The sequence below is a fragment of the Homo sapiens genome, chromosome 7, assembly GCF_000001405.40.
Source record: "Homo sapiens chromosome 7, GRCh38.p14 Primary Assembly".
Classification (NCBI taxonomy): domain Eukaryota; kingdom Metazoa; phylum Chordata; class Mammalia; order Primates; family Hominidae; genus Homo; species Homo sapiens.
Window position 1 is genome coordinate 36,145,569 of NC_000007.14, and position 23,445 is coordinate 36,169,013.

General features: G+C 46.1%; 1 protein-coding gene and 1 pseudogene across 1 annotated transcript in view, besides 2 other annotated features; both read left to right on the top strand.

The window, feature by feature from the left end:
- On the top strand, positions 1,266–2,457 carry MARK2P7 (MARK2 pseudogene 7; annotated as a pseudogene).
- Positions 7,098–7,817: a silencer, noted in NCBI's record as "silent region_18100". NCBI's record gives its function as "represses an Ori minimal core promoter by ATAC-STARR-seq in GM12878 lymphoblastoid cells {active_cell/tissue: GM12878}" and the evidence as "EXISTENCE:reporter gene assay evidence [ECO:0000049][PMID:35858748]".
- Positions 7,686–23,445, top strand: part of EEPD1 (endonuclease/exonuclease/phosphatase family domain containing 1) — a 148,285-nt gene continuing 132,525 nt past the window's right edge. Inside the window, exons 1-2 of the mRNA NM_030636.3 lie at positions 7,686–8,106; positions 8,565–9,634. Of these exons, the coding sequence (NP_085139.2) occupies positions 8,757–9,634 (878 nt within the window). The 5' untranslated portion in view covers positions 7,686–8,106; positions 8,565–8,756. The remainder of the gene's footprint in view (positions 8,107–8,564; positions 9,635–23,445) is intronic.
- Positions 12,520–13,040: an enhancer, noted in NCBI's record as "NANOG hESC enhancer chr7:36197697-36198217 (GRCh37/hg19 assembly coordinates)". NCBI's record gives its function as "activates a minimal SCP1, AML or CMV promoter by ChIP-STARR-seq in naive H9 embryonic stem cells {active_cell/tissue: H9 hESC(naive)}" and the evidence as "EXISTENCE:reporter gene assay evidence [ECO:0000049][PMID:30033119]".

Genomic DNA, 23,445 nt, shown 5'->3' on the forward strand with positions numbered 1-23,445 from the left:
ATATGAGGAAAAAACAAAGCTCTGATAAAAGAAATAAAAAAAGAACTAAATAAATGGAGAGACATTCCATGTTCATGAATAGAAAGACTCAGTATTGTTCAGTTCTTCTCAACTTTATCTATAGATTCAACACAATCCCAATTAAAAATCCAGCAAGTTATTTTGTAGATATCAATGAACTGCTTCTAATGTTTATATGGAAAGGCAAAAGACAGAGTAGCCAACTTAATATTGAAGAAAAAGAAAAGTTAGAGGACTGTACTGTCTGACTTCATGACCTACTATAAAGCTACAGTAATCAAGGGAGTGTGGTAGTGCCATAAGAATAGACAAATAGGTCAGTAGAACTGAATAGAGAGCCCAGAAATAGATCCACATAAATATAGTCAACTGATCCTTGACAAAAGATCAAGGACGATACAATGGAGAAAAGACAGTCTTTTAGCAAATCATGCTGGAACAACAGGACATCCAAAAGAAAAAAGAAAAAAAGAATCTCCACACAAAACTGACACCTTTCATAAAAAACTCAAAATAGACCATAGACCAAAACATAAAACTATACAACTCTTAAAAGATAGCACAGGAGAAAATCTAGGTTGGATTTGGCAATGACTTTTCAGATATGACACAAAAGGCATGATCTATAAAAGAAAGCATTGAGAAGCTGGACTTTATTAAAACTAAAAACTGCTGGTTGGCAAATGACACTGACCAGAGAATGAGAGATAAGACACAGGGAGAAAGGATGTACAAAAGAGATATCTGATGAAGGACTATTATTCCAAACATACAAACAACTCTTAAAACTTAACAAAAAGAAAATGCACAACGTATTGAAAATGGGCAAACGACCTTAACAGACACCTCAATGAAAAAAGATATACAAAAGGCAACTAAGCATATGAAAAGATGCTCCACATCACATGTCACCTGGGAATTGCAAATTAAAACAACAATAACATGGCACTTTACACTTATTAGAATGGCCAAAATTGCAAACACTGACAACACCAAATATGGAGTAACAGGAATTCTCATTCATTGCTGGTGGAAATGCAAAATGGTGTAGCCACTTTGGAAGACAGTTGGCAGTTTCTCACAAAACTCTTATAAAACATGCTTTTACCATATGATCCAGCAATCACATTCCATTGTATTTACCCATGGTAACACTCTTATATGTCTATTGAGTGTGAAAACTTTCTCACAAGAAATTCTTCATCCTCCTGCACTCCAGTCTGGGTGAAATCCTGTGTTTAAAAAATGAAAGAAGGAAATTCCTCATCCTCAACACAAGCAAGAGAGGCTCCTAGAGTAAATCATGAAGAATCCAAAAATGAATGTAGAGCACGAGGAGGAAAACAACTGTCCAGCCACTCTCTGGCTATAAGGACCCTGAGCAGACTGAATTGATGGTGTCCATAGGTCATACCTGAAAAGGGATTCAGGATCCTTGCAGCACCGGAAGTACAATGAAGTACTGGCCACCCATCTGCTCCCAGCCTACAAGAGATCCAAGCTGGAGACTATACCACAGTCCCAAATCCTCCCTCCCCACCTTCAGCTGATCCCACCACCAGCTGCACTCCTTCCCCATCCACAAAGTGCAGCATGGCATCTCAGCCAACTCAAAGCAGCAGAAGTATAGCGAGCCTGCTATTCCCATTTTAAATTTCTGTGCTGTAAATAGTCAAAGGAGCAACAAAGAAATCAGAGGCCTGAGGAGGATCGGGAGGCAGGGCGGAAGCCATCAACACAGCCAGCCTGCCTGCCAGTCCCCTCCCTAGCCTGCACCCCCGCTGCACAACCCCCTAGCGAGGCCCTGAGGCCTTCCCCTCCACCCATACCCCAGCAGCAGTAGTGGAGCCCCAAATGGAACCAACTTCCTCCAGGGCATCTCCTACAGAGGAAACTAACTGCACACTGGGCAGCTTGGACAGCTGCAGGACCAGTAGAATTTGCCCTGAGGTATGACCCAGCCTTTCCCTATGGAAACAGCCAGGGCTAGCAGGGGACCACGGGGAAGTTCTTCACCTTCCTCTGCAGGCACTTGTGTTTCAGGTCAGCCAGAAAGAACCAGCATGAGGCTGAAAGCAGAGTGCAGACAGCAAAACCTCAGGTGGTGGGCAGCAGGGCAAGACTGAACACTATACCTACAGGAAAGCGTGTGGGAAGGTCAAGCTGGCTCCCGGCACTTTCCATGCAACAGGGAGGTCCTGAGCTCCAGGGAGCCCAAGGAGATGGGGCAGGAGATGGACCATGCTGGAGGCAAAGAGCTGCAGGTGGGAGGGAGCAGAAAACATGCACTGCTGTGCATGGCCCACCTGGCTGAGAGGACCTCATGCAGTGGAGGACGCAGGTGTGCAAGCTGCTCAGCGGGATCAAATCAGGAGGAAATCCCATACCTCCCTGGCTTTCAAAAGCATTGTCCCCAAGATAAGTGCTGACCTGAAAAGTCGGCCAGGAGCCTCCTGGGGAACAAGAAAGGAGGGTGGCCCCTCTGCCCCAGTGAGGGAAACTGCAGAGACTGGACTGCTTCCCCAGGGGCTCTTCTTCCTTCCTGTGCTCCTCTCTGTCTTGTCTTCTGTATTTACTGGGAAGAGGAGATGGTTCTATGGAAATAAACAAACACAATCAACAGATAAAAAAATATATATGCCAATTCATTATATTTAAATGCAATAGTTAAAAAAAAACCCTGCTCTATGACTACAGCTGTCGCAAGACAATTGTCTACAACTGTCCAAGGGGAGGGTCCTGAACCCTTGAAAACACTCTTATGATCCACCTGAAAAACGATAACAAAAACACTATCCTCAATGGAAACCAAGGCCTGCAAGAGCATCCCGAGAGTGGGACAACTGTCAATGGCTATAAAGGGGTCTTCCCCGGAGCTGTGGCATGGCTCTTCTTGCTGAGAAACAAGGCCTGAGGGCCACATCTGTATGATAAATACTGCTCTGAGACAATCTCCCCACTGTGTATAATCTTAAAACAACCCCAGTGTATTCTCTCTCATGTCCTGTGGGTGGCTGGGCTCAGCTGGGTGGTTGCTCAGCTCCTTGTGGTCTCTGCTGGGCTCACTCCTGTGGGCACATCCAGCTGGGGGACAGGCTGGGTTGCAAGGTCCTAGAGGATTCTCTCACACTCAGAGGCCCTGGTGCTGCTTGAGGGCTGGGGTGTCTCAGTTCTTCTTCCTGTGGCCTCTCAGTCACAACAGGAGAGTTAATACTTCCCTATAGCATGGCAGCTGCGTTCCAGGAGGGAACATTCCACAAGGAATGGACTAGTACTTGTCTCTGCTTGCCTTACTCTCACAAATCACATGGCTAAGCCTGGAGTGAATGTAGAAAGAGGTCACACAGGGAGGAGAATGAGGGGAGGCTGGACCCACTGGGCACCCATGTACAGTCTATCACACACTGTTATGCAGCAGAGCACTGGAATCCTTTAGAGTAATATACGAAAATGCTCCTGGTGGTGGGATTACCGGCTGAGTGTCTATATACAGGCACAGAAGAGAAAGCAGAATTACATACCTGTGTGTAGAAGATGAAGCTTTGTTCATTGCCCCTCTCCATGGTGTCTGTCCATGGTGTCTGTCTGGCCATCCTCTGCCACAACTCCCAGTGAGGCAGGATCTGATGTAGAATGCGCAAGTGGGCTGCCAATGCCTGGAGTTTCCTGAGTTTGGGAACACAGGGAGCCTACTCTGATAAAGAGGGACAAATCCACTGTTAAGGTCACACTAAAGGAGACGTTGCCTTGTCACACTGATATAATTCAGGACAGCATCCAGCTTGGCCACTGCACACAAGTTGGTGCCAAGTCAATAGCCTGACTGAAGCTCATTGATTGGGGCATTGGGGCTTGCTTTGCCAGGACTGAGGTCTTGTGTGTTGGGGCAACATTTCCCTATTCAGCTTTCAAATCTCATCTTGACCCTCACTTCCCGGGAAGTCCCCTAGCAGAAATTACTTGTAATTCACATCCATATTCTCTTCCTCTCCCTTATTTCAACAGGCACTAGTCTTACTGATTTCATGTCTGCAGTCCTGCTGCACCATCAGCTCCGGGAATAGAAGTCAGGAGTGTGCTCCTCACTGTACTTCCAGTGCCTAGCACTATGGGTGGTAAAACTGAAAACACAAATGCTCTCCCTTCTTGTCATCTGCCACCTCTCCCTTTCCCTAAATCGCCATTTACTTTAAAACTGCTAACTAAGAAGCAAAAGGCCAATGACCTTGGTCCTCTCTGACCAGGCCCCAGGTGAGAACTATGTCGTAAGGGGCAGTGGCCACAGGATGTGGTATTTGGCTGGAATGATATAATTTCTGCCCTTTGACATCGTCATGTAACTGGGTTGTCAGCTAGAGCCCTAAATAATAAAATGCAAATAAAACCCTCATTCCTTGTAAAATGGGACCCGAGCCAACTTCCCAATCTCAATGAGGATTCTTGAAAGTCAGGTATTTCCCTGGGTCTCCTCGTATTCTGATTTTCTGCTTCCACTGAATCCTGGCTCTTTCTCCCACCCATCTTTCATATTTTAGCTGCCCTTTTTCTCTCTGTCTTTAATTTACCCAGAAAGATTCAGCTCCCTTACTTTATCTCTCCTAAACATAACTTATTGATGGCCATTACATACATATCTTACAAAATTTAGTGTCTGTGCATGGGGTAGGGGTGGGAGGATTGCATCATGAAATAGCACAGCAGATAAAATAGACTGTTAGCCGTAAGTTTAAAGGCCTCTGTCGCCCACTTTCCTGAGCCCCCAAGCCAAGCTGGGGAATGTTCTCTTCTATTAGCTGTCTGTTCAACTTCTTGGACCCCTTCATCCCCCTCCTAAACCTTTTCATCTCCACCCAGGCTCACGTACCCCACTCTCCCCAAAAACAAGGCCTATGTTTTTTTAGATTCAGAGAAAATTTTTTTTCATTTTTTGAAGATTTTTCCAAAGCTGTTGTCACTGAAGTACACCCAAATGCACATATTTAAAGTATACGATTCTGTCAGTTTTGACATTCATATGCCCATGAAACTATCACCTCTCAAACTACATTGCCATCAGCCCCCAAAGTTTCTTTGTGCCCTTTAAAATCCATTCCTCCCTCCCCATCATCCCCAGGTAACCACTGATCTGCTTTCTCTATATGTATGTCAGTTTGTATTTTCTGGTGTTTTATATAAATAGAATCATACAGTATGTTCTTTTTTGCCTTGCTTCTTTCACTCAGTATAACGATTTTGAGACTTTTCAATGTCATGTAATAGTTTGTCTTTATTGCTCAGTAGCATTCCATTGTATGGATATACTACAATTTATTCATTCATCCACTGATGGATTTGAGTTTCTTGTTGTTTTGCTTTGTGTGTGTGTGTGTGTGTGTGTGTGTGTGTGGGTGTGTGTGTGTGTGTGTGTTTGGCTATAACAAACAAAGCTCCTATGAACATCCACATTCAAGTCTCTGGGTTTCATGTTTTCCTTTTTCTTTGGTAAATACCTATAAGTAGATTGGTTGAGTCATATGGTAAGTATACGTTTAACTTCTTAGGAAACTTCCAAACTGATTTCCAAAGTAGTGGTGCCATCTTACACCTCCACCAGCAATGTATGACCATTTCAATTGCTCTGCGTCCTCACCAACATTGGATACAATCAGTCGTTTTAAAGTTAACCATCTCATTGCATGTTTTTGTGGGGTGTATGTATGTGTGTTTTTAAATGCACTTTGGTTTGGCCAACGCTTGGTTTCATTTATACCAAGGGGAGCATTTGCTAGGTTTATGGGGAATAAAACCAGATTATTTCTGTTGTTCTAGGATATTATTAATAGAGTCCTCTCTTCACCTCCAGAGTGTCCTGGTTTGTATGATAAAATATGTTTTCTCTGCTTCCAGCCCAAGTAGCCACGCTCCACGGCTGTGCTTCCACAGCCACGTTGCGCATCAAGGCATTCTGCTCAACGAAGAGTTTTCTCTGTTTTCCTGCTTGTCTTAAACTGTTTTTTCCTTACCGCACCAGGATTTCAGTGCGTGGCATAATGTAGCCCAGTGTTTGGGTGGGAGATGATGGTAGGTAGCAAGGCATTTTTGCGATCAAGTGCAAATAGCTTGCCTAAAAATAAAGCCAATAAAGAGAACCGTGGAGCCAGAGATGGAGGCAGTCCTGCCATGTCCTAATGACCCCATCATCACTTGGGTCGGATGCAACCAGACTTGAGGTAAGATTCCTTACCTTAACTTTTCAACAAGGAACCAAAAATTTCCCCCCGACCTTTTTTTTTTTTTTTTTGGTCTAAGCTAGTTTGACTTGGTTTTCTGACCAATATACATAGCAGGGGAATGTGCCTCAGAAAGGCAGTAGCATTTTCCAAACTTGGGCTGCCGCTAATTTTACAACCAAAGTACCTTCCGCCTGTGAGAGGTACTATTTTTGCTGACCCAGTCCTTGGAATTGAAACCAGATGCACTGGTCACATTGGTTGGGGATGAAACTTCAGAGAACACTAAACGTCCAGGGTCAAAGTATTCAACGATATCACCGCATGATTTGCTTAATCGAATACTCTAGCTCTAGGTATCCACTATAATGCAGAGGGCTCTTTAATCTTTAACCAAATTGTCATTTAGCAGTGTGATGCAAAAACTCTTCTGGGTTTTGGGAAGCAGCCCCCATTTCCCTCCTTCGTAATGATTAGACTTAATATTACAAAAACTTATCCTTGTTTACTCACAGCGCTAAATGTGCAAAGGAGCAAACCTGTATTTGACCTATGCGAACACACAGGAGGGTGGTGCGTGCCCTCTGCTAGGAGCACAATGCGTCGCTGGCGTTATTAGAGGACATCTCTCTGAGCGGAGCAAAGGTAATACACTGGTGGAAGAAAAGAAAAGGCCGAAAGTGGGGACAGAAATTAAGACGATCCCATTCAGTCTCCTCTGGAACGTTCTGCAAAATTCCGTGAGACCCTGGACCTACAGCGATGCACTCTCAGGGACTGCCCCGGCCTTCATCCCCACACCTCAAAGACAGACGAAAAGCAGCTGAGCAGATCTCGCCTCGGGCAATCCTAAACAGCCTCTACCAGGCACAACCAGTCCTAGGCCCCGGGCGGCAACCATGGTCCGGGGGCAGCTGACTTAGGACAGCCTCCCTGTGACCCGCCCTCGCCGGCACGGCGCCGGCTCCGCCCCTTAAGCCCCCTAAGTCCCGCCTCTGCGCTCCCGGGGCCTACCCCCGCGCTCATGGCCCCGCCCCCGCTTTTCCTACCCCATCGCGCCCTGGCCCCGCTCCCACACTCTATGACCCCGCCTCTCGCACTCCAGGCCCGCCCCACGCGCTCCAGGGTTCTGCTCTCCACCCATTTGTGCCAGGCCACGCCCCCACACCCATGGCTCCTCCTCTCGCACGCCAGGGCCTCCCCTCGCGCTCTCTGGTTCGTTCTCCACCCTCTTGAGCCTTGATGCCGCCCCCTCTTCCATGGCCCCGCCTCTCCCACTCCAGGCCCGCCCTTGCGCTCTCGGGTTCCTCTCTCCACCCACTGGTGCCAGGCCTCGCCCCGCGCCAGGGCCCCTCCCCCACGTGCCCTCGGGAGTCCCGGGGAGGAGTTGCCGCGCGGAGGAGGCGTGGCCGCGGTGCCTGCGGAGGCGCGAGCGGCGCGGCGCGGCGCGGCCGGGACTTTGGCTTTGACACCGACTGCGAGCGGGAGCCGTGCGGCTGGTGCTGGGTCTGGACTGGCTCTGGCGGATCCCCGCCCGAGTTGGGCGCAGGACTTTTTGCCGGGGTAAACGCAACTGCGGCGGCGCCGCCGCAAGCCCCGGTGCAGCCTCGGCGGCGGGTTTCGCCGCCGCTGCCGCCGCCTCCGAGCAGCCCTGCGGCTTCTATTCACTCTGGGAGAGCGATGCTAAGTTTCTCCCATAGAAAGAGCCGGGACACGCAGACCGAAGCGGCGTAGTCGGCTTCCAGGGCCTGACCAGTGACCCACACCCGCGCGGACGCCTAGGCTGGAGGCAGGGGGCCCGTGCTGTCCCGGGCTGGGCTCAGGCTTCCGAGCCGCAGGTGGAAGAGGAACCGGCGCCCCGCAGAGCGGCCGAGAGGTGGGGCGCGGGGACCCGCGGCAGGTCGGGTGGGGGGTCGATAAGCCCCTTCTCAGTGCCCGCTCCGGGGAGCACGGACTTCCCAGGTTGCAGGTAGCGCTGTGTCAGATGCGGAGCGTGGGGGAGGTGGAGTGGCCACCCCGTCTGCGCGAGCCCAAGTGTGGGTGACCCAAGTGTCAGAGTTGAGAGAGGCCTGGAGGAGAGGCATGAGGCTGATGGGGATAGGTCTCTTCCCAAGAGAAGCGGCTCGTAGCCTTTTTGGACTCCAGTGTGATAAAACCCGGACGTCCCTAGAGGAGAATCCACATGGGCCTAGCCTCATTGTGCCTGCGTTTTTAGGGGTTCACGGGCAGCCACCAGTCCCCGACTCCTGGTTACTAACTCTAGCACTAGGTAGGGGGTGCTAATGCAAATTTCTTAATTCAATGGGTTTCTATGTTTATTGATTTATTTTCTAGGCGGCCAAGTGAAAGGTAATTTTGGACACGCCAGGCATGGAAGATTCGGTGTTTGTCTATAGTAACCTCTTCAGTCCCTGAATCCTGCACCTTCCGTTTTTCTGTGCTTGTACGGCCTACTGGGCTTCCTCCCTAGCCAGAGAGCTCTTCTGCAGTGGTGCGGCCTTCCCGGGAGCCTGATCCTGGCGGACCATGGGGAGCACCCTGGGCTGCCACCGCTCCATCCCCAGGGACCCCTCGGACCTGTCCCATAGCCGCAAGTTCAGCGCAGCCTGTAACTTCAGCAACATTCTAGTGAATCAGGAGCGGCTCAACATCAACACTGCCACGGAGGAGGAGCTGATGACCCTGCCTGGGGTGACGCGTGCCGTGGCACGCAGCATCGTGGAGTACCGAGAGTATATCGGTGGCTTCAAGAAGGTGGAGGACCTGGCATTGGTCAGTGGTGTAGGCGCCACCAAGCTGGAGCAGGTCAAGTTTGAGATCTGTGTGAGCAGCAAGGGCAGCTCAGCGCAGCACTCTCCCAGTTCCCTGCGGCGGGACCTGCTAGCGGAGCAGCAGCCTCACCACCTGGCCACAGCTGTGCCCCTCACCCCACGTGTTAACATCAACACAGCCACCCCGGCCCAGCTCATGAGCGTGCGAGGCCTCTCGGAGAAAATGGCCCTCAGCATCGTGGACTTCCGCCGTGAGCATGGGCCCTTTCGCAGCGTTGAGGACCTAGTGAGGATGGATGGTATCAATGCCGCCTTCCTGGACAGGATCCGGCACCAGGTGTTTGCTGAGAGGTCCAGGCCCCCATCCACCCACACGAACGGGGGACTGACCTTCACCGCCAAGCCTCACCCGAGCCCCACTTCCCTGAGCCTGCAGAGTGAGGACCTGGACCTGCCGCCAGGGGGGCCCACCCAGATTATCTCCACTCGGCCGTCCGTGGAGGCCTTTGGAGGCACAAGGGATGGGAGGCCTGTGCTGAGGCTGGCCACCTGGAACTTGCAGGGCTGTTCCGTGGAGAAGGCCAACAACCCCGGGGTGCGAGAGGTGGTGTGCATGACACTCCTGGAAAACAGGTGAGGACAGGAACCACCATGGGTGTTGGGTGTGAAGGCAACTTGTGCGTGACCTCATCTATGGATGCAAATGAATGGATTCTTTTGCGGGTAGGGAGGGTGCAAGAGTTTTTAATCAATGTTCTTGAAGCCTCAGCCAATACCGTCACCTGAGAATGGGCTGTCCTTCTGCTCCAGAATTTTCTGAATACAGCTGGGCTTGTGACCCATGTCTTGAGTGTGAGATATCTGAGACTGATTCATAATTTTGGGGTAAGCAGAGGTTGTGTTTTTGTTACTGCTTTGGAGGATGCTGGGTCTACACCAAGTCAGGCACTCAGAGCATGGGAACTGGTGCAGTTTCGCATGTGAGAAAGAGCTCATTGGATTTTGTTTATTAATGGGAGGGAAAATCATATTTGTTCCATCAAATATGCCTATTTGTGCACACAAAATCATCTTAAAGGCCAAGTATTTGCAAACACATACAAGTGTCTATATTTACCAAAATGCTATGAATGAATCACTCTCCATTCTTTTTCCTTATTTAACCTGGAGTTGGTTTTCAGCCCTAAAATTGTAGCCCAAAATGTGTGTAACCTTTTCTGTGCCATAGCCAGAAAAAAGCAAGCTGACGTGTGTGTGTGAAAATTGGCCGGATTTTCCCCATTTAAACCAAAGAAAAGAGTCCAGTAGGATAGGCCGTTACCACAGAGCGTTTATGTTATTCACAATACTGCTCTCTGTAGGAATTTCTGTTAGCCTCGTCATAAACAAAAACAATATTATTTTGGCAGTAACTCCTGCTGTTAGTAAAATAGCAAACTGTATAATGTAATCAGGTGTGGGAAAGAAAGAAATATTTGTGATGGTCCCTTCCAGGTCATAAGAGCTGTGATCCTGGACTTGAGGCGTTTTGCCCTGCCACCCACCAGGGGTGCAGTGTTTGTGGCTACTCGTTGATTTCCTTTGCACTGAGTTGTTGGTGAGGCTGGCGGCGGGGGGGCAGCAGTTTGGTGACACGAAGTGAACTCTCAGCGGGAAATCACAGTGCATGATGGCAGATCACCAGGAAAATTAGTGAGGAGAAAAGCAGGTCACAACGTTTCCTTGGCACTGACCCAGTGGCATGCTCTCATCACTGAGAGAGGGACTCCACACTGGGTCAGGGAACTGGACTGGGGAGCCCTTGAATGCTCTCCCTGCACTGCTGTGTCCTCTCTTTTGCAGCCTAACTCACTCCTTCTGCAAAGTCTTCTTGTGCACAGGTGAGAGCTGTACTCGGCACCGGGAGATATTTATAAAGAATGGCTTGATAATTGTTCTCTTTATCCATAGCAGCATGGGCGTGTGAATGGGAAATGAGGAGGGGAGAGGCAGGAAAGACAAAGCTGCTTAATTCCTATTATGCTTTCTAGTGGCTCAATTTGGGAGGGGGGTGATGGATTAGGATCAAAAGTTGGTCCAGTGGGACTGACCAACCAGGCAGCCCCTGCCTATTTATTATGTCAGTGGTTTCTAAAGTGTGGTCCCCCCTGGGGACCAGCAACATCAGCTACTGACTCAGAAACTTTGTTTCTGTGTTTTAACACACCCTCCAGGTGGTTCTGATGCACACTAAAGTTTGAGAACCATTGTACTAGGTGTTAGGCAATCAGCTGTCCCTCTGTCTCTTGGAAGCCCCTTCCTCTGGCAGGGTTAGTGAATTCATGCAGAACTTTCCAGGTCTAGTCGGCCCTCCATACCTGTGGGTTCCACATCCATGGATTCAACCAACTGTAGATGGAAAATATTCAGGAAAAAAAAAAGTTGTGTCTATACTGAACATGTCGAGTTTTTTCTTGTCATTCCCTAAACAATCCAGTATGGTAACTATTTACATAACATTTACATTGTATTAGGCATTCTAAGTAATCTAAAGATGAATTAAAATATACTGGAGGATGTGCATAGGTTATATGTAAATAATATGCCATTTTATATCAGGGACTTGAGCATCATGGATTTTGGTATCACAGGGGCTCCTGGAATCAATCTCTGCAGATACCAAGGTACAACTGTCATTTTTATTTTCCCCTTTGATTGTTTTGATCATCCTTATAATTATTCAACCTTGTGATATTCTTTCTGACCAAGCGTTGAGGAGCTTATTCATCTTCTAGGACCTATGAATGTGAAGGGTAGAGAATAGGAGAGTGAGCAAAGACGGCTGGCCTCAGCGCTGGCTCCACCCTGCAGCCCACTGAGCAGGAGACCTCACGACTCTTGTCCAGTGTGAAGGTTGTCCTGTTTTTTTCTTCTTTGGGTTTCCTAGAGAGATGATGATTTGCTGAAGACATTGAACTACTGTCGTCAGGCAAGAGTACAGGAAAAGTTTACCCAAACCCACCAGGGTGTAGAAGGGATCACCTGTAAGTGACTGGGAAGGTGACCCGCACCGTCACATTCTCACTCTTGGCCAAATGTGTTGGAGGTTGATGGTTCTCTTTGCCTGGTCACAATGGATTCAGTATTCCAGACACTCCTAGCACATTGTTAATGTTTAGTAAACATGAACTAATGGACTCAGGGCCTGATCCCCTTCAGAGTAGGGTGAGTGCTTTGTCTGTATGACTGTCCTAGGGTATCAAAAGCTGTCACAGAGTAGATCTCGTGTCCTCAATGATAGCAGCACCCATTCTCCAAGAGCTGTGTGTTCGTCCTGATTCACAGAAATCTCTCCCCTTCCAATTGTTCCCGTATTAGTAAGAGGAAATACATTTAGTATGAGCAAGAATGGGTGCAGGTGATTTCTGGGTGGCTCTTATTTACATCCATGTGTACCTGTAATAAAAGAGTTTCCTAACTTTTGGGTATGCCTTCGTGCTTTCTAACAGCTTTCCCATTTACTTGATTTTCCTAGTAAGTCTGGGATGTAGGTAACACTGACTTTTATTAATGATTCTTCATCTCTGGGTAAGGAAACTAAAATCAAGTAAGTTAGATGACATGACTCTATCAGGCAGCTCCTTAGTGACTCAGCTGGGACTGCGACCCAGACCTTCTCACTTTAGACCTATGCCCTTTGCAAGCATGCTGTGTTTTGTAAGCACGACACCTTTAACCTGCCTCTTGGTTAGACACCCATCCTCTCCCTCATCAGGCGCACTTGCTAAATTGTGAGCCAGTCACAGTGTCTTAAATTAAATCCATTGTAAAGGGATTTTAAAGATACCCTTAGGCAGTTCCTTTGCAAAGGGAATAGCTGGCTGTGAATTTGCTTTAGTAGGTGTGTTTTCTTAGGCTGAAGGGTAGCTGTATGGGATGGGAGTTAGAGTCTTCTCTTTAACCTTCTTACAGCATGTGTGAGCTATAAGAAACTGTTTTGCAAGTGAGGCGTGAGGTAGGACAGCATTATTTGATAATCATACAGTCACCAGGAGCCTTCAGGGATGCCATGCTGGTAGCACAGAACTGACAGGTTTCATTAGATTATTTTGCCAAATCTCAGTCTTAGGCAATACTCTTCCTTGTTCGGTATTTATGGAACAAGATTAAAGGGGAATGTTCCTGCTAAATATGCTTGCAAAATTTGGAGGTAGTCCACATCTGGAATGAAAATTGGTTAATATTTCATTTTTACTTATTTATTTTTTGCTGGGAAGTCATTCTGTTTTGAGAGTCTCTTTGGTTATTGAAAGTATAAACCCTAAGGGAGCTGAAAGATAATCTCCAAAAGAAATAAGAAGATTTAACATCCCACTTGCTCATTTTCCCTGTGGCCTACATAAGAAGAGAACTTGAGTGTCAAAGTCTTTAGCCCTGTAATGGCTTAAATCAATTTTTTTGCCACATGTCTGTGATATCAAAGCACAAGGTGGATTAATGCCTAGCAACAAGCACTGATAGTGAAAAAAGATTTTACTTTATTAGACTTGATTAGTAGGATCAATATAAACATATCCCATCTTGTCATTTGATTCATTCATTGAAAAATATGTATTGAATGTCTGCTGTGTGCATATATAAGCTAATTTCAGGGATCAGCTTCGCCCTGTTACTTACCAAACTTAAGTCAATGTAGATTAGTTTGTGTGGCCCAGCCTCAAAACAGTCTAGTAAACCTAGAGTTTTGGGGCAGGTCAAAAGGAGTGATTGATACATGGTTGTATTTTTCTCATATGAACAATAGGCTCACCCTGGGAGGTTGAAGGGTGGGTGGATGCAGCCAGACGTAACATCTGGGGACAGAATGCCCATCAATCCTCTTAAAGTAGAAATTGTGAAATCCATTTTGACACTTTTGGAAACTGAGGCTCTGAGAGGTTAAATAGCATCTGTGTGGCCTTCAGAAATGTAGATATTGGAGTCAGGATTTGAAGTTTGTCTACTTTCAAAGCGGAGGGATTAGGCCAGATTAGGCGTGTCTTTTCCCAAACTCCATGCCCTTCTGCTGCCTCTGACTCCCAGCCCACCCACATTTCCTCCCTGCCTTTGGCTGGCCAGGTATCAGGGTCTTGGGGAAAAGGAGGGCTTCCCTACAACCCTGAGATTGTGTCAGGCCTCTGGGGGCCTCTGTTTTTTCCCGTTTTTGTTCCTCTAAAGGATGGGGCTTGAGGCCAGAGGTAGAGCCAATCCAAAAGGCGTCAGGGCTCCTCCACCCAGCCCCTCAAGTGTGAGTCTGTGACCTTGGGCCTGACTCCAAGATCAAGTTCCAGTTTTCTGAGCCAAGGAACTCTAAGGTGTTTCTAAATAGAAAGATGGTCGGTAGTAAGAGTGTTGTGGATTTGTAAGAGAAGACAGTGTGAATGCAGGGAACTTCCAATGTAGGCAGAACTTAGGGTTTATCTCACTAAAGGGAAAGGTGTGACTTTTGTTTTACAAGGAAGCTGGGCCCATTTTGGGTCTGATTCCAAGGTTCTTTGGGAGTTTGATGGTGTTGATTTTCCCAGGGGCTATCCATTCCTTTCTTACTCACTCATTCACCCATCCATCCATTCATTCATTCAGTTAGCAGATCTGTTTGGAGCTCTCACTAGGTACCAGGTTCTGTATCAGGCTCTGGTAATAAAGTGGAGAACAAGACAAAGTCCCTGCACTCATGGAACTTCTGTTCTAGGAGGAAAGACAAACAGGTCAACACACACATCAATCATTACAGATAGTGGTGCATGCTGAGGGTGATGGAGGTGAGGTGAAGAGAAGCCTATTTAGATGGGGGTCAAAGAATGCCTCAGCTGAAAGCTGATGGATGAGAAGAAGCCAGGCACGGAAGAAGCCAGGGAAAAGAATGCTCCATGGAGGAATTGGCAAGTGCAGAGGCCCTGAGAGTGCTGGCTCCAGACAGAAGGCCAGAGTTCTAGAGTGGCGGGTGGGTGGGGCCGCAGAGCAAGGCCAGGCCAGATCAGGTGGGGCCTTCAAGACTTCTTGTAACAGCAGGAGGAGGCCACAGAAGGTTAGAAGCAGAGGCTGAAGAAATGACCTCTTACCAGATAGTCTGACTGCTGGGAGGTGGTGGGGGGCGGGGCGTGCATGGAGAGGGTCCTGGGAGTTGAGTGAAGAAGCTGTTGCAGGATTCAAGCTAAAGGCAATGATCTCTGGGGAGATGGGGAAGTGGGCAGAGATGAGAAGCCTTTTAGAGGTAAAAACTGGCAAGACTTGCCTATATTGTGGATAGTGTGAGATTCAGCAGGTAGCTTGTTTGAAATGCTCTGAGGTTTCTATGAGATAGGTGCAGAGGCATATATAATAAGAAATCCTGGGGCTGACACACATGCCTCTGTATTATTTTAACATGATGCAAGGTGTTCACCTTACCCTTCCCCTCAGCCACAGCTGTGTCCTGGGTGTGGGGTCTTACTTAGGTCCATAGCAGATGGAGTATGAGGCCATGGTCTGCCCTCAGCAGATGGGGCATCTGACAAGGCCACATATTCTCTTCAGCATCAATGACAAATGGACCCAGGGCTTGCTCTGGGGACTTTAGGTGACTATTTCTATCAGGAGAGGTTCGCATACATTCAGTTCAACATTGAGCAGCTACTTTGTGCTTACTACCTGATGAGGTCAGAGGCATGGGCGCAGGAAGACCCCACTTTGTGGTCGGGGGCTCACCGTCTCAAGGACATACACATTCAGCAGGTATTTCCAGGATGATGTGTGGGATGAGGGAGGATGTGAAGCTTGCTAAGAGACCTGAGAGCACAGGGACTTGGTCGCTGTCTGCTTGGCTCTGCAGGTATGTGAGACCTCAGCATTCGGTCAGGGATGAAGGGAAAGGACCAAGTCAGGTGGATGGGTGGTTGGAGTCTGAGAGGAAGGAGTGTAGTGGCATAGTGACAATTGAGGCTGAAAGTCAGCATCCACCCTCCCCCATGCACACACACGGCTGAGGAGGGGGAGGTCCGGGCCCTCCACTGAGGCTTATGATCCAAAATACTCAGACAGGAACATGGCAGCCTCCCACACAAGGCTCCTCACAGTGAGAGAATCCGGTATACAAATGCCAAGCTTATAAGCAGGAAGGTGTGTGTCATTTTAATTTCAAAATGACCTTCCCCAGCCTGGGAAACATAGCAAGACCCTATTGCTACAGAAACTTTAAAAATTAGCTGAGTGGGGTAGTGCGTGCCTGTAGTCCCAGCTACTCAGAAGGCCCAGAAATTCAAGGTTGTGGTGAACTGTGATCATGCCATTGTTCTCCAGCCTCAGTGACAGAGTGAGACCCTGTCTCTCTCAAAAAAAAAAAAAAAAAAATTACTCTACCTTACAAAGGATTTTATCCCAGAATTCCCTAATAACAATCAGTGTCAGTAACAAATAAAATGATAGATTTTACTGAAATTCTATTTGCTCATCATGGACATCCTGGTTTGTGTGTGGTAATTTATACCTGGGTAGAATTTCACACTGATGACTTCTCATATCATAACATCCAGGAAATGCCACAAAAATGTCCTGCTCTACCTGACAGGCTGTTAGTCCTCATCAAATATTTAGGAATCTTAGCAGCTTCCTCACCCTCCTTCTCATGAGTGTTGTACACATGCCAAAGTTCTTATGTAATGTCTTGATTGACAGCAGCCAAATTGCTGAACTCAAGTGGCTGGGAACCCTGGAGAGGTGTGCTCAGAGTAAACATTTCATTATAAAGGGAAGTGTGGAATCCTTCTTGCAGACTCTTGAATAAAGAAAGCCTGGGTTGGCTGGGCACGGTGGCTCACACCTGTAATCCCAACTTTGGGAGGCCAAGGTGGGTGGATCACTTGAGCCCAGGAGTTCGAGACTAGCCTGGGCAACATGGTGAAATCCCATCTCTACAAAAAATACAAAAATTACCCAAGGTTGGTGGTGCACACCCATAGTCCCAGCTACTCAGGAGGCTGATGTGGGAGGTTAGCTTGAGCCTGGGAAGTGGAGGTTGCAGTGAGCTGAGATTGTGCCACTGCACTCCAGCCTGAGCACAGAGCGAGACCCTGTCTTAAAAAAAAAGAAAAGAAAGAAAAAAAGAAAAACCTGGATTTTCTTTACTGACTACAATTCCCCAACTAATATTGATTTGTTGTTTGTTTCCAACGAGCCCTTGTTTCCTGTGAATTCTATTTTGGTTCAGCCGTTACCTGATTAAGCTGTTAAGCTGGGCCTTAAATTGTTTTACCTAGAGGCTGCTGTATACTCCTGAAATGCAGTGCTTAAGCGACAGTACGTTGTTCCCATTGCCACATTTAAGGTTGCACATGCTTTGGATGTTCTACGGATCTGAAGTCTTGTTTGCTCACCCCAAAACTGGAGAATAAAACTAGTACTTTGTCTTTTTCAGCTTATGCTAAAAGTGGGAGGTCTCAGGTGGGTTGTTGTTTTTTAAAAAATATCTATCCAATATCCTGTTTAAAAAAAACACTTCTCTAGAGTATATTTTCTGTTAAGCAAATTCAGTCTAATTTTTTTTTTAGCAGTTTATGTTTCTTGAATGGGAAAAAGCCAATATTTGGGTGACATTAGGCCTTGGTCTTAACTGCCAGTGGTCTCAGGGCTCCTTCCTTCCTTTCTTGGTGGGCAGCCTCTGTGGCTTCAGATTATTGTGTTGTTTTATGGGTAGGTTTTTTTTTTTCCTTTTCAAAGTGATTCCCAATCTTTTAAAGTTTTAATTTGAGGACTCATTTCAGATAGCAAAATACTTCATGTCCCTCTACTCTCCCTTACTCGATGGTGTACTTTTAGTGTCCACTTGGTGGTAGAGGTTGTGCTAGAACAAAAACAATGATAATTAACACTGACAGTTGCTGTGGCTGAGGGCCATAGCTAAGTTACAGATACAGAAGAGATGGCTCAGCGAAGCTGAGAAATTTTACTGCTTTCAGAGGGTGGAACTTGGTTTATAATCCAAAGTCTTTGCAGTTAGACTCCAAAGTTTGATGATAAAAAGCTCTTCTGTTCAGGCTGGGCGCGGTGGCTCATGCCTGTAATCCCAGCACTTTGGGAGGCCGAGGCGGGCGGATCATGAGGTCAGGAGATCGAGACCATCTTGGCTAACACAGTGAAACCCTGTCTCTACTAAAAATAAAAAAATTAGCCAGGCGTGGTGGCGGGCACCTGTAGTCCCAGCTACTCGGAAGGCTGAGGCAGGAGAATGGTGTGGACCTGGGAGGTGGAGCTTGCAGTGAGCCGAGATCATGCCACTGCACCCCAGCCTGGGGGACAGAGCAAGACTCCATCTCAGGAAGAAAAAAAAAAAAAAAAAAGCTATTCTGTTCAGTAATGCTTCTCAGAGTAGTTGTATTTCATTCATCACCCAGACTGCATTCTAGGCTAGATGCTTTCTTAACCAGCTTGGCTTGGGTTCCCTAGGTTATGATTTTTCGTAAGTATACTGATATATAATGATATCATCATGTGTCTACGAACATATGTATTTGTCTTAGTGTTTGTCTTTTCAAAGTGGAGCAAGGATATTTGCAAAGCAAACTGATTGCAGGATACTATATTTTTTATGACTTTTCTGTCTTTTATAATTGTCTTAACCACACTTATTTTGACAGCAATTTCTTAAACAACTTGCTTTTTAAGAAGCTTTTCAAGTATCCATCTTCGTTTTCTTAGAAACAACTTATCTTTCTGCTCATGCTTCTATTTCACCAGTTGACAACCACATTTTAGGAGATCATGGTAATATGTGCAACTGACATAAACAGTTTAAGGACAGGCACAGTTGACTCTCTGGTAAGCACATGATGCCCTACTCACAGCTGATCAAGCCAAGTGTACTCATTGCACCATGGGCATCCATCAACTTGTTTTACAAAGGGAATGGGGACACTTTGGTAGGTCCCTTGAGTGGAGGTTGGTTAGGATAACATCTATTATGTTTTTTAAAAAGGTTACTGTTGTACCCATGTTGTTTATTTAAGCTAAATTCAGTGTTTGTTCTACATGTTTATTGTAGACCCCAACAGGTAACTGCAGGTGGTTACTGACCTACCATTCTTTCCTCTAGGAGATTGACTGAAAAAGTCAATCTCTGGAGAAGACAGTCAAGCACTGAGTAATATTTTGGTCAATGATAGATGGTGTATATGTTCCCAGAAGATTATAATGGAACTGGAAAATTCCTGTTGCCTGGTGACATCTTCATGATCCTGATCCCATGTAAGCCTAGGATAATGTGTGTGTGTCTTAGTTTTTAACAAAAAAGTTTAAGAAGTAAGAAAGAAATATATTTAACAGTAGCAAAAACTTATAAAGGATATAAAGAAAGAAAATGTTTTTATACAGTTGTACTATGAGTTTTAAGCTATGTTATTACAAAAGTCAAAAGATTAAAAAATTTAAAAGTTTATAAAGTCAAAATGTTACAGTAAGCTAAGGGTAATTTATTAGTGAAGAAAGAAAAAACTTTTAATTTAGTGTAGCCTAAGTGCACAGTGTTTATTAAATCTACAGTAGTGTACAGTCATGTCCTGGACCTTCACATTCTTTCACCACTCACCCACTCACTCAGAGCAACGTCCAGTCCTGCAAGATCCATTCATGGCAAGTGCCCTACACAGTTGTACCATATTTTAGATTGTATACTGTATTTGTACTGTACTTCTTCTATGTTTAAATACCATAGTGTTGCAATTGTCTACAGTCTTCAGTACAATAACATACCATGTAGGTTTATAGCCTAGGAGTAGGCTCTAGCATCTAGGTCTGTGAAAGTCCACTCTGTGAAGTTTGCACAATGATGAAATCGCCTAATGATCCATTTCCTTTTTTTTTTTTTTTTTTTTTTTTTTTTGACAGAGCCTTGCTCTGTCACCCAGGCTGGAGTGCAATGGAGCAATCTCAGCTCACTGCAACCTCTGCCTCCCGGGTTCAAGCGATTCTCCTTCCTCAGCCTCCTGAGTAGCTGGGATTACAGGCACCTGCCACCACGCCCCAGCTAATTTATTTATTTATTTATTTATTTATTTATTTTTAGTAGAGACAGGGTTTCCATGTTGACCAGGATGGTCTCGATCTCTTGACCTCGTGATCTGCCTGCCTCGGCTTCCCAAAGTGCTGGGATTACAGGCGTGAGCCACCATGCCCGGCCCTAATGATCCATTTCTTAGAACATACTCCCATTGTTAAACGGTACATGATTGTATTTATGAAGTCAAGAATTTGACTCATAAATTGATAGTTTGACTCAAATTGATACATTGTCCAATTTCCCCTAAAAAAGTCTCCTGCAACTTTTAGAAATAAAAACAATGAAGTCCTAGTGAGCTTTTATTTTGATTTAATACCTGTGCTAGTCAGCATTTTCTTCAGCAATGCAGATGAACTGCTCGGAGAACCGATGAATACTGTAAACGGAGAGGGATTCAGGCAGGGGGATGGGACTAGATGGCTTATAAATACCTTTCCAAGTTCATGACTCCACACTGTCTTTTAAAAATGGGCTGAATTGAATTTTAAAGTCTGATTCTTAAAATATTAAATACATGTCCACACAAGTGAAACTGCACAAGAAACTGTGGTATTACAGTATACCTTTGCTGAACTCAGTTTAACGCCAGGCAAGACTGTTTGGAGTTGATTTGTAATTGTTTGTGTTATGTTAGTTTGGATGTCTCCTGAATTTGTAACAAAAAATGCAAGTAGTTGTTAGATATTGTTAGAATTTCAGCTTAGAAAAGGAGTTGCTTCTATCTTTTAAACTTTGAGATAAATTTTATTAAAAGCATTTGAAATTACAAAATGGATGTTTAAGATATTACCATTTGCAACCACTTAATTGTGAAAATCAGGAGGCCAGGAGAAGTGGCTCATGCCTGTAATCCCAGCACTTTGGGAGGTCTAGGTGGAAGGATCACTTGAGCTTGGGAGTTTGAGACTAGCCCTGGCGACATAGCGAGACCCCTTCTCTACAAACAAACAAACAAACAAAAAAACAGGCTTTCTTGTCATTGGTCAACCTAGGCAAGATAAACTGGATGAAGTATGAGAAATGAGACTGTGAGATCACCCATAACCCCTAATTTCAAATACAATATTTGCATTCATTCAAACTGCTGTGGTATTTTGATTGATTAATTCTGTTAGTTAAGATTATATATTTAAATATATAAATTTCTTTCAAATCACAAAAGTCCCTTCCAATCCTGAGGCTTTTTCCGCAGAGAGGGAAAATGATCACTGTTACTACCAAATACCCTTGAATACTGAGAAGGAAGAGTGGCTGTTCCTATAGATAAGATGTGTTTGGTTTTTAGGGCTGCCATAATGAAGTCCCACAGACTGGGGGGCTTCAACCACAGAAATGATTGTCTCACAGTTCTGGAGGCTGGGAGTTTGAGATCAAGACATTGGCCAGCTTGGTTTTTTCTCAGTCCCCTTTCCCTGGTTTGCAGATGACTGTCCTTTCCCTGCGTCTTCACATGGTCTTTCCTCTGTACCCAAAATCTCTTCTTATGAGGTCACCAGTCATATCAGATTAGAGCTTACCCTGATGGCCTTCTTTTACCTTAATCAACTCTTTAAAGGCCCTATCTCCAAATACAGTCACATTCTGAAGTACTGGGGATTAGGGCTTCAACACAGGAATTTGGGGGGACACAATTTAGCCCCTGACAAGATCATTTAAGAAAAATTACCCAGGGGTTTCCTTCTGGGCAGTTTGTGAGCAACTTGCTCCTCTGAGTTTTTTCTGGAGGGATGACGATTTCAAAGTACTTGTTTCACAGTTTAAATGCTAGAGAAAGCTGCATTTGAGTTCCTGGAGTGACACACTGCTCTGCCAAGGGGAATGGCTTTCTTGTCGGGCCATAGTAGATAGGGTCCAGCTCTTAGGGCCTGGACCCTTGCACTTCTCTCCTTCAGATTTGCTAGTCTGAGTTTTCCTCTGAAATGAGAGCAGTGACCTGGAGCCTTCTACACTGCCACCCCCACGCAGCAGCCTCCAGTTTGCCAAGTTCTTTGCTTGCCCTTGGCTACAGGTAATGTTGATGCATAAGTTTGCCAAACCCTGGGCACTGGGCACCAATTTCAGGTAGAGATTTAGTGCCATTTAGAACATAGTGCCCTTTATTATTATTATTATTATTAGAGACAGAGTCTCTCTCTGTGGCCCAGGCTGAAGTGCAGTGGCGCCATCTCAGCTCAGTGCAACCTGTGCCTCCCTGGTTCAAGCGATTCTCCTGCCTCAGCCTGCCGAGTAGCTGGGATACAGGCACGCGCCACCACGCCTGGCTGATTTTTGTATTTTTAGTAGAGATGGGGTTTCGCCACATTGGCCAGGCTGGTCCCATAGTGCCCTTTAGAATTGCTGTGGAAGGGCGAGATTCAGAGTGACCCCTGTGAAGCCAACCCAAGTGGGGCTTTCCCTGACTTCTATGGTTAAGCACGCCAGCTACGGGCTCCCCTATCAGCATGTATTTCCCCTGCCACGACCATCCCTCTGTTGTAATTGTGTGTTGGTGCTGTCTGCCCTGTGGACTGAGGGTTTCATAAGGGCAGGAGCCATGCACATATGGTGGAGTTTTGGCACAGTAGCACTCAGGAATTTGTGGAAAGAATAAATGACCACTAACATTTATTGAGTATTTATTTTACCCCACATGCTGTTGCCTTGATATTCATTAAGTGAATGCTCACACTACTTCAGTGAGGTGAGTAAACTATGTCCACTTTACACATAAGGAAACTTAAAGAATATAAGCTGACTTGAATGAAGTGACGTACTTGGTGAAACTGGAATTACCCAGCGCCCAAACTCTTTTAGATGCAGAGGTAGCAAATCCATAAACTTGGAAATGGGGCCAAAAGATTAAGAAAGGGGACAGTTGGCCGGGCACGGTGGCTCACGCCTGTAATCCCAGCACTTTGGGAGGCTGAGGCGGGTGGATCACGAGGTCAGGAGATCGAGACCATCCTGGCTAACATGGTGAAACCCCATCTCTACTAAAAATACAAAAACAAAATTAGCTGGGCATAGTGGCAGGCACCTGCAGTCCCAGCTACTCAAGAGGCTAAGGTGGGAGAAAGGCATGAACCCAGGAGGCGGAGCTTGCAGTGAGCGAAGATTGTGCCACTGCACTCCAGCCTGGGCGACAGAGCAAGACTCTGTCTCAAAAAAAAAAAAAGGTTGGGGGAGGGGGGACAGTTGTTTCCTAGCCTTTCTAGATCTAGAAGTATGAAGAGACAGATTTAACTGGGGGTAAAGGACCCTGTCCTCTTGGGGGTACTGCCCTGCAAGCGCTTTAGGAAGTCATCTGATTCAATTTGAAGATTTCCTTCTCCTCATCCCAGGATTCTGGATATTGCTTATAAATTGTATAGTATGTGACCTTTTGTGCCTGACTTTTTTACTTAGCATGATGTTTTCG